This window comes from Homo sapiens, chromosome 2 (assembly GCF_000001405.40).
Source record: "Homo sapiens chromosome 2, GRCh38.p14 Primary Assembly".
NCBI lineage: Eukaryota > Metazoa > Chordata > Mammalia > Primates > Hominidae > Homo > Homo sapiens.
Window position 1 is genome coordinate 145315360 of NC_000002.12, and position 10896 is coordinate 145326255.

Genomic DNA, 10896 nt, shown 5'->3' on the forward strand with positions numbered 1-10896 from the left:
AAATAAAAGAGAAGTTTTAAAATTACAAATAAGCCCAAGATCAGGCAGTTTGTAAGTAGCGGAACTGGACATGAATCCAAGACTGTCCAACTCCAAAGTTTATGCTCTTTCAGGTAAAAATTCATAGAAAATTTGGGCTTGCAGACAAAAATATTGTAGGGAAACTTCATGAAATATATTACTTATTTCTTAGTATAATAAACATCTGAAATGGCTGCTATTTGCCAGGCTCTGTGCTAAATATTATGAATGCGATGTAGGATAAGACAAAGTCCCTGTTCTCTAGCAGCTTATGTTCTAGTAGGGCAGGTAAAGAATGAATAATTAGGTAATAAATAAATTAGACAAAGTGAGATGCCAGACAGTAACTAGGAGAAGGGGATAATCTACTTACATTAAGCGGCCCAGGGAAGGCCTCTCTAAGGAAGTAACATTTTTGGAAGGTTGAAAAGGAGGTGAACTTGACAAGAGTTGATAGATGGGTGTTCCAGGCAGACAGAACAGAAGGGCAGGGTAAAAGGAATATAGGGAATGGGGAAAAAGTTAATTGGTGGGAGACTGACGATGCTGAAATGAATGTGTCCCTTAGTGTATTGGTATTTATTTTAAGTGCAGTGGAAAGCTATTGAAGGGTTTGATGCAGAGGAGTGATACGATATTATCTGAACTTAAAAAAAAAAATCCTATCTGGCTGTTGAATGCCTCTCTCCATCTAGTATTCTAGGAGGTAAAAATGTGCCTTACAGCTCCGTGTTATGACATCTGAGAGGATTGAAGCCGATTCAGTGTTAGTGTTCTTTCCTTATTCCAAATAGGTTATCTGGTTTAAATGCCATTGCTTTTCTCTTATCTGTATGACAATAGATAAGCAAGTTATGACATCTGAGATTACAAAACAAATATTTAGCTCAAAACACCATTGCCTCTGCCTTACCAGTGTCTTACCTCTGTCCTTATGTGTGAGGGAATGGATGAACAACAGTGATCACCTTCCCATTGGTCAGCGCCTCTGCATGATCTATGCGAAAGGACCATTGGGGTTGTTTAGTGCCATGGTACTGCCAATGGCATCTTTTACTTATTAAAACATGATATGGCATAGCTGGTAGGAGAATGCTTCTGGAACCACACTTATATGTTGAATCCTGGCTTTGTCAATTACCAGTCTGGAATCCCTGGGTGAGTTATTTCTCTCTGTCTTAGGTTTCTCACCTTTCATGTGGAGATGATAATAATGTCTACCTCATGTGATTATTGTGAGAACTAAATGAATTAAAACTTATGTAATGCTTGGAACAGAGCCTGGAACATAGTAATCAATGAATAAGTGCTAGTTGTATCTCAAATTGTTGGATTAGGCTACTCTTTGAATAGCATGCCAAAACTTGTTGTATCCATCCCTTTGCAGGGAAACAGGAAGGTACTCACTCCTTTTCCAATAACACGGTGTTTGTAGGTCAATGAGATTGGATATTGGGAAAACTACTGGAAAGAAAGAGAATGGAAAACAATAACCACAGGACTATAGAGAACATCAATATTTAAGAAAAGGAAGGAGGGAAGTAAAAATAGGTCAGCAGAAAGAATGTTCTAAAAAGGTAGAAGGACAACCAGATGAAAATAGGGTTAGAGTAACAAGTGGTAACAGACCACAGGTGGCAAATGCAAAGAGATCAGTAGAATGGCAGGTAAAAATAGATCACATTGATTGTAACATTAGGAAAATTTGACTTTGTTTAGATGGTGTTAGGGCATACTTGGGACAATAAGTTGATTTGTAGCCAGTGGTTAAAACCTAAATATGAGGTGAAGAGTTACAAACAACAATTCTGATAGGAAAATGGAAAGCGAGGGAAGAAGTGGTTGCTTTGCAAGGAAGTTGGAATTATGTGTGAGGGAGTGTGTGTGTATACATTAAAAATATACTGGGAAAATAAGAACATGTTTATAAGATGGGAATGTATTGCAATGGAAAAGATAATGTAAACATTTAAAATTAAAGATAATGGGTTTTTTCAAGGAAGATGTATGAGACTCTGGGTGGAAAAGGGGCAGTTACGAGCACTCTGCATGGGTTTGGATCCTATCTTCAGCGCTTGCTAGCTGTGGCCATTGGCATGTTTTCAAAGATTTCTGTGCCTCAGTTTCCATATCTGTAAAACTGGAATAATAGTAGGACCTATCTCAGAGGGTGGTGACAGGATGTTATGCTGAGGCAGGCCTCAAGTGTACATCAAGCTACTGATGTACAGAAAGGGAAATGACATTTGCAATAGGGAGGTATGTCAGCAAAGGAGTAACTTAGTTGTGAAACATAGAGGATGGAATTTGCGAAAATTCTTAACTTAAACTCTCTGCTTTCTCAACAAATAAGAGGACATTTTTCTGACAATAAGGAGGGCAAACATGGAGTCTGAAATTTAGAGAAAGTATAAGATTTGGGCATGGGATCTGGAAATGACAAAGAGAGAAGAAATAGAGGATTAAGATGGACTAACAGCTCAGCCGAGGGTGATATGAGCACACTTACTTAAAAGCCAATGTGCATGCTTGTGAGATTTTTTCTCTACCAGATTTTTTCAGTTAAGGAGCCTCAGAGAATGATACAGGGTGGTGTATTAGCCAGGATATGTGATGTTATGCTGCAGTGACCACCCTATTAGGTCTATGCAAATCTGAAGGAGAGGTAGGAGTGGGATTGGTGAGGTATCTGCTTCTCACAGTCATTTAGGAAACCATTCTCTCAGGGATGCTACAACTTTTTTAAACTTTCATTTTTAAACATTTTTCTTGTGTTAAGATATATATAAACATATAATTTAACTATTTTCAAGTGTACAATTCAGTGGCGTGAACTATATTGATATTGTTGTGCTACGATCACTACTAAGCATTTCTGGAACTTTTTGATTATACCAAACTGACACTCTGTATCATTAAACAATAACTTCTCATTATACCCTCCTCTAGGCCTTGGTAACCACTGTTGTACTTTCTGTCTGTATGAATTTAAGTATTCTATGTATGTCACATAAGTGAAATCATACAATAGCTTTTTTCCCCTTTTTTTGTCTAGCTTATCTCACTTAGCATACTGTTTTCAAGATTCATCCTAGTTGTAGCATGTGTCAGAATTTCATTTTTAAGGCTGAATAATACTCCTCTGTATATACACACCATATTTTAGCTATTCATCTGTCCATGGACATATGGATTTTTCCACCTTTTGGTTATTGTGAATAATGCTACTATGAATGCTGGTGAACAGACATTTCTTTCAGTCCCTGCTTTCAATTCTTTTGACTATCTACCAAGAAGTGGAATTGCTGGGTCATATGGTATTTCTGTATTTAAAATGTTAAGGAACTATCAGAACCATGATACTGTTTTTTACAAAAAAAAATGCAGTACTTACATTCCCACCAGCAGTGATTTTGTATATGTGTGTACATACATACACACACACACAAACACACACACATCCATCCATCAAGACTAAGTGGGCTTTATTTTAGGAATGCAAGCTTGGTTTAGTAGCCAAAAATCAATCAAGTCATTTCATCATGTTGACACACTATAAAAACAAATGAAAGAGTATGATCCTCTCAAAAGATGCAGAAAACACATTTGACAAAATTTATAACCCATTTATGATTTAAAAAGTAAGTCTCAGGAAACTAGGAACAGAAAGAAACTTCTTCAACTGAATAAATAGCATACATCTAAAAGCCACCAAAATATTTTTTATTGGTAAAGTATTGAATGCTTTTCTGCTAAAATGTGTAACAATAAGGCAATGATCTTAAACGAACAACTTCTATTCGGTAATTTATTAGATATTCTAAGTGCACCAGGTCAAGAAAATAAATAAAACTGTGTGTAGCCGGGCACAGTGACTCATACCTGTAATCCCAGCACTTTGGGAGGCCAAGGCGGGCAGATCACCTAAGGTCGGGAGTTCGAGACCAGCCTGACCAACATGGAGAAAAGCTGTCTCTACTAAAAATACAAAATTAGCCGGTCATGGTGGCACATACCTGTAATCCCAGCTACTCGGTAGGCTGAGGCAGAAGAATCGCTTGAACCCGGGAGGTGGAGGTTGCAGTGAGCCAAGATCACGCCATTGCACTCCAGCCTGGGCAACAAGAGCTAAACTCCATCTCAAACAAACAAACACCACAAAAAAATACAACAACAACAAAAAAACCAGTGTGATGATTTCAAGGGAAAAGTAAAACTGCCTTTCTGTGCAGATAATGACTATGTATGTCACCAAAAATGTTGGTTCTATAAAATACTACTAGAAATAATAATTGATTTTAACAAGGCTAATGATACAAGGTCCTAAGATAAACCAATTATATTTTTACAAGAAATGTAATTTTAAAATTCTAACACATAATTGTAAAAACATAGTTTTTGTTAGTAATAATAAACTTGGTAATAAAATTATCAAAACATATGTAAAACCTTTACACTAAGGTCTCCAAAATGTTGCTGGGAAATTTAAAAGTACTGAAAATATGAAAAGATATCCTGTGTTCGTGGATTAGAAAACTCAATGTTATTAAGAAGCTGCTTTTCCTCAAATGATTTATAGATTTGATGCAACGCCAATCAAAATTTCAGCAGGCTATTTTGTAGAAATTAACTAGATGATTCTAAATTTTGTGGGGAAATACAAAAGACCTAACTAGATTAAACAATTTCGAAAAAGCAGAACAACGTGGTACCTTTTATACTAACTGATCTTAAAAATTATTTGAAAGCTAAGCTAATGAAGATTATGTGGAATTGGCATGAAAAGAGATATATAAATCAATTGAACAATATATAGAGTGCAGGAATAAATCTGTTTATACATGGTCAATTGATTTTAGACAAAGGTGTAAAGGCAATTCAATGGAGAAAAAGTTACTCTTTTTCAACAAATGGCTCTATAGCTATTGCATTAACATGTGAAGTATTAATGAAATTATCCCCAACCCCTACCTCACAATATGCACAAAAACTTAGAGATGGATCATACACCTAAACGTAAAAGCTAAAACCATACATTTCAAAAAAGTAATTATTAGAGAATTTCTTTATGACCTTTTGATATGGAAAGATATTTTAGCAAAAAACAAACAGCAACAACCATAAGAAAAATTAAGTTTAGAAAGTGGACCTCACCAAAGTGATTTTTTAAAAAACTGCCCATCAAAAGTTATTATTAAGAAAATAAAAAGGCAAGACACAGAATGAAGAAAATATAATACCAAAATTTTAAAAAGGAGCTATATCCAGAATACGCAAAGAATCTACAAATCATTAATGAAGAGTAAACTAGTCAATACAAATGGCAAGATAATTGAACAGCCACTTATCAAAATATATGGCAGGCCAGTAAGTCCGCTGAACAGTCCTTCATTAGGACCAAGTACTGACTCTATGCCCATTTGAAGAACAAAATTAAGACTGACAACACTAAATATTTTTGATGATATGGGAGCCACTAGAACTTTCATTCATTACTTATGGGGCTACAAATTATTACAGCCCCTTTGAAAAAGACTCCTTGGCTATTTCTTCAAAGTTAAACAAACTCCATCAATCTACCGCCCAGGTATTTACAAGAGAAATGTATCATATGCCCACAAATAGCAATTTACCAAAATGTTTATAGCAACTTACTCACAGTAGTCCCTAACTGGAAGTAACTCAAATATCCTTAAGAGAAAAACAGAAATTCTAATATATTCATATGATGTAGTACTACTCAGCATTAGGCAAGAATAAACTTTTGGAAGATGAACAGAAATATTGAAGAATTAACTAAAAACATTTGATTAAATTAAAGAATCAAAACAAAAGAGTACTTACTGTGTGATACAATATGTGTATACTTCAAATACAGTCAAAAGTTAGTCTCTATTGATTAAGGTCAGAGTATTGGCTGCCTAAGGAATCTGTGGAATTCCTGTATGGAAACAGAAGGGAAACTTTGTAGCACGATGGAAATATCCTGTATGTTGGGTACATGGGTATGTATATTTGTCAAAATCATTAAATTGTACACTTAAAATATGCATATTTCATTGTATATAAATTAGTTTAAAAATTGTGCAAGCTTGGCTAATAAGTAACAACAACACGTAGAGGAAGAAGTGGTACTGATTTCAGTCATGTTGGCTTTTTGGTGTTTCTTTTACACTGACCTCTTTCACACTCCTTTCTATCCTCTTCTCAGCTCTAAATGGCTCTTGACAACATTTGACCTCCCCACTTTTGCATGCATCTCCTTTCATGACAGTCTCTCCTCTTCATTTTTTCCTTCAAATACCTCTCATTCTTTCCTTTCTCATATCCCTTATTCCAATTCCTTTGTCACTGAGAGCAATGAACAATATGCTAAACTGTTGCCTTTTATCAATAAAATAAAATCAAATATTGATAGAGACAGGGTCTCACTCTGTTGCCCAGGCTGGAGTGCAACGGTGTGATCACAGATCACTGCAGTCTTGACGTCTCAGGCTCTAGCAGTCCTCCCACTTTAGCCTCCTGAGTAGCTGGGACTACAAATGCATGCCACCACTCTTGGCTAATTAAAAAACTTTTTTTTTGTTTTGTTTTTTCAGACAGACAGGGCCTCACTATGTTGCCCAGGCTGTTTCAAACTCCTGGGCTCAAGTGATCCTCTCAACTCGGCCTCTCAAAGTGTTGGGATTACAGTCATGAGCTACTATGCCTGACCCATTTTTTTTATATGTATAAAATTTTAGAGCTCACAGAGAATAAATTAGCTTAAAAATACTTTGTGTCATCAAAATTGGAAAATTTTAATTTTACCTTGTATTTTAAAAATCAGTTTCACAGCTAATACTTCAGAGAGTTTCACGGGCCTGAAGATACACTGAAGAGCTTTTAATCTGGGGTGACAGGGGTAGACCTTAATTAAATAATGATGTAATGAATGTATGTAAACAAAATGACTTCTATCTCTGAGGGAAGGCAAGTCTTCTAAAGACTCTTTCCTCTCCCTTTTTATTTAAATCTCCCACACATTTTACCATGTATTCTATCCTTGAAAAGTCACTTCAGTGTGTCTCCTCAATTCCGTACCTTGTCCATTGATCCTGCTCCAGTGCCTCCTGTTTCTCACTTGCACCGAGATGGCTCTTTACCTGTCTCTGTGATTCCAACTGGGTCCATCTCTTCTCTTGCCACTTTTCCTTTCCACTTGCATCTTCACCTTCTAACTCATTCTCTCCTAACCTTTTGTGTATACACTTTTACGTTTCTGTATCTTAACACCGGCCATGCCCTTCTTCAGGAAAGGCTATACCCAGGCCCTGACTCCATCAATATCCAGTGGTTACTGAACTAGTAATTTTTGGGAAGCCTTATCTGCTGTCTCTTGTCCATGCTTCTCTTTGATTACTTTTGTTTATTATTATATGTACCATTTTGTCTTTTCACCTGCTGGATTGTAAACTCTTTGAAAAAGAGATTCTATCTTATAACCTAAGTATTTCCAGCCCAATGCCTGACCCATTGTAAGCATTTAATAAATATTAGTTGATTGAATGTTTCATGAGAAATATTTTAAAAGGTAACCAGCCTTAACTCCAAGGAATTTTTTTGTGTATGTGTGTTTGCCTCATTTTTATTTATTTATTTTTAAATTTTTGATCTCATTCTTTTATTTACAAACATATTCACACATGGAAAATGATAAACAAAATTTATTGCAGGAAAGTGCAAAAAGAAATAACATATCTAGGTGCTTTCTCTAAAGCTGAACATTTTTGCCTCTTATTTTTTATGAAATAGATTTTGAAACAACAGTCTTCATTGTTAAGAAATTAACAAAGTAAAAACTGGCTTTAAAATCATCTTCTAAAAAAGTATATTAACACTTCTTTCTATTTTTCTTATTTTTAAAGAAAAGTAGAAAGAGGAGTTAATATTCTTTTAAGAAGATGATTTTCTTTATTCAGTAGATGAGTGTGCACATCACTGGCCCACTTTTAACATGATGAGGATAATAGGTAGGTTTAGGTTGGTGATCAAAATTAAAGTCTGAAATCTGCATCTAAATTATGAGTTGCTTGCTTGTGAGAAATTTCCTAACTGGGACTGCTTCCAAAAGCACTTCACTGAAGCTTCATGGAATTTTCTCAACTGCTTTATTTGTTCCTTCTCCACACTTCTTTCCTGGTGCATAGAGGTACATCTGTCTGTTTTCTGCCTTATCAAGCACGAATCTACATCTGAGGGGATAACTCCACTTCCTTAGCTAAAAACCTGTATCTGATTGTGGTGATAAAGCTCTACTTCCTCAGTTCAAAACATACATCAGACAAGACCAATTACTCCAAATGACTCACAGTAACAGGCACAGCAATAGTCATCTTTTCACAGCCTTTGAACTTCTACTGCTTCAAAGGTGTACTAAAATGTGGTTATGAGGCGATTGTCTAAAATTGCCAAATTACCAGTTTCCAAGCTTTGACATTTGTTATTTTGCATAACTTGACAAAGGAAATCAGCAAGATTACCTACCAGGAGGAAAAGAGACAAAAAAAAAAAATAAAAGACGGACCAAAAAAGTCTCTATGACATAGGTGGGACTGGTGGTATGATGCCTCTTAGGCAAAGTGGAGAAAAAGGCTTCAATTATTGTTATAATTAGGATATGAAGATAAACAAGCAGACATTTTTTATTCTTATTCTTGCTCTGAAAAGTATAAACAATACATTACTCTCTGAATGGTCAACCAATAAAATTTTTCTTTAAAGGAAGTCGCTGTCTGGAAGCACTGCCTGATTCTTTGAATTCTGTCAAAGAAGTTGCTGAAGTTCACGTGTGTATCCAAAGGGCCAACAGTGGTGAACAGTCGCCAAAACTCATAATTGCCTCGCAGCTGTTTAGAAACTTGCGTCAATTAAATTTGTGGTCATACCTGTTTCTGTCCTTTCTCCAAGAGTAAATTTAGCAGTGACTGTCTTCGAGGGAAATATTTTCTGTACATTTATCACATTTCTGTCATACTTGTTCATTAGCATAAAAGGCTTTTAATTTTATCTCTTATAAACATCTTTGAAATAACTACCTTCTTTATAAAACCTCTTTCTAAGAACTGTAGGTTATACGGAGAAGGGGCAACAGAGTGCTGCCTTTGTAAGCATGTTCTGTAGAGCCCAATGCCTAGATTCAAATCCTGGCCCATCCATGTGTCCCGCTAGATGACTTCAGGCAAATTACTTAATTTCTGTCTTAGTTTCTGCATCTAGGAAATGTGAATAAAATGATGCTACTTACCTCATGGGTGGCTGTGAACATTAAATACATTAATATTCATAAAGCATTTCAAATGGTACCTGGCACCTTGTAAGCAGTATGTGTTTTGTAAATTTTTAAAAAAGATGAAGAGTATGTACATTTAAAATGTACTTTTTAGAGCTTGATTACATTGGTGGCAAAATGTTCTGTGTTTAAAAAAGGAAGAAAAACTAATGAGGAAAAATTTTGAAGCCCATTTCCTGAGTCTGAGGTGAAGTAGTTGGTAACCCACATTAGCCAGCTTCTTCTGTAATGTACACCACACTGAGCCACTAAAGGTTTCCCATAGCGGAAAGTCCAGAGAGCTTTACTAAATCTACTAAACTAAGCTTTGCCCAAAATGCCTTTGCTTACTTTCTTAGACTGTCACTCCTGTTAAAAGAAGGAGCAAAAAAATCCCAGCCCTTGAAAATATACTCTTTCTCACCAATAAATGAGCCATTGTAATAGAGTGATATTATTCACACTTTACAAGTACCTAGCACACAGTCCTGGTGCTACCACCGACTGGTGAAAATTTAGATCAGGAGAGACACTTTAGGCTATTTGGTTCAAACTTTTCAGTTTACAGAAGAAAGAGACTTCAATGAAACAGATGTCAGATGAGTATTCTAAGATTACAGTCAGTTAGCAATGGATTTGGGCCACACCGGTGAAGAGCATGCCTTGTGGAGTCAGACAGCAACAAGTTCAATTTCCAGTTCTCTTAATTTCTTACCTCTGAACACGTCTTAATTCCATGTTTCCTCACCCTTAAAAAAGATAATTAGTTAATATTTATAGATGAGATAATAATTGTAAAACAATTAGCACATTGGCTGGCTTGTAACAAACTCTCAATAAAGGGTACCTTCAAAGTCTGTACACCATGATGTGGTTCGAAATGTATAGTTGGCACCTTAATTTGTTGGGCAAATGATGACTGAGTCAAACGTTCATACTCATATTTAAATATAGCTCATATCCTGTAAATAAACCTGCAGAGTCAAGTTTTATCTTGTCCACTCTGTGTTACCCAGATCTTGTACAGGAAATGGAGTGTATTTAATATTGATGACTCTGTATGTGTCATTTAATTGTCTCTATTGATTGGATTTCATCAGAGTGTGGGGCTTGGACAGAGCTTTGATTAGACTGTAAGGATTCTTTGCCGTTTTCTTTTTTCCGACACCATATCAATGTACCTTCTGGTGTGATATCACTTTCACAATCAATATCTGAAAAAAGCTCTGCACACAGGCCTGCAGGAAAAGAGAGAAGGCACTGCCTCTAAGTCCCCTTATACACATAGATTTAACCTCTCCAATTGAAAAAGGTTTATTGCATGTTTTAGAGCAGGATGGAGTGGGAAAAAAGACCTGAAGGAGTCTCCATAGATTTCTTGTGTAATTTGCACATCATTTTTTATTTAAAAGTGTCAAATTCTCCCTTTTAATGTTGGTTGACATTTGAGAATGGATCATTTTTATCAGTGAAATTTTACAGTTTCAATCTAGCGGTTTTTTTTTCTAGATGTAATAATAGTCTATAAATATATTATTTGGGCAAATTGATATCTTAGACAGACT